This window comes from Homo sapiens, chromosome 7 (genome assembly GCF_000001405.40).
Source record: "Homo sapiens chromosome 7, GRCh38.p14 Primary Assembly".
NCBI classification, from domain to species: domain Eukaryota; kingdom Metazoa; phylum Chordata; class Mammalia; order Primates; family Hominidae; genus Homo; species Homo sapiens.
Window position 1 is genome coordinate 42,842,978 of NC_000007.14, and position 629 is coordinate 42,843,606.

Here is a 629-nt window from a genome sequence, read left to right on the forward strand (position 1 = left end):
ACGCCTGTAATCCCAAACACTTTGAGAAGCCGAGGCAGGAAGACCTCTTGAGACCAGGAGCTCAAGACCAGCTTGGTCAACATAGCGAGAGCCCATCTCTTTTTTAAAATAATAATTTTTTAAATTTTCTTAATAAAATAAAATAGAGCAAATGCAGCCTGGGGCTTATTTGCAAATCTAATCCTTTCTTTAGCTGCAAAAACGACCTGTTCCACACAAGCCATACAAGAGAATCTTGCAATGTTCTTCTACTTAAATTTAAACTGTCACAAATTTTTAGTGCCACCTCAGATGACTAGATTTGGTGGTCTTGTCGGAAAAGGGGCGTACATTTGGCTAAAACGTGACTGTTGTCCTTGCCGCAGCGCCATTAATATGAGAGGGGCGACTGGGCTGTACAGAAAAGGCTTAAAGCTCCCCTGTGCGGTCAGTGTGGGTTAAAACAAGCCGTGCCTCTCGCTCCACGAGCTGGGTGCCTCCTTATCCCCTCAGTCCTAAAGACAGCTGTAGCCAGAGATTTTTTTGAGAATTCATTTTGCTAAGTCTGATACCCTCTTAAAGGTTAATCCAAACCTCCCATCCTAATAATTATAATAAATTAATTTCTCAAGAAATTATTTTTCTTTGGA

The 629-nt window shown here is 41.3% G+C and overlaps 1 annotated feature.

Moving 5' to 3' along the window:
- Window positions 337-416: a silencer, noted in NCBI's record as "silent region_18120". NCBI's record gives its function as "represses an Ori minimal core promoter by ATAC-STARR-seq in GM12878 lymphoblastoid cells {active_cell/tissue: GM12878}" and the evidence as "EXISTENCE:reporter gene assay evidence [ECO:0000049][PMID:35858748]".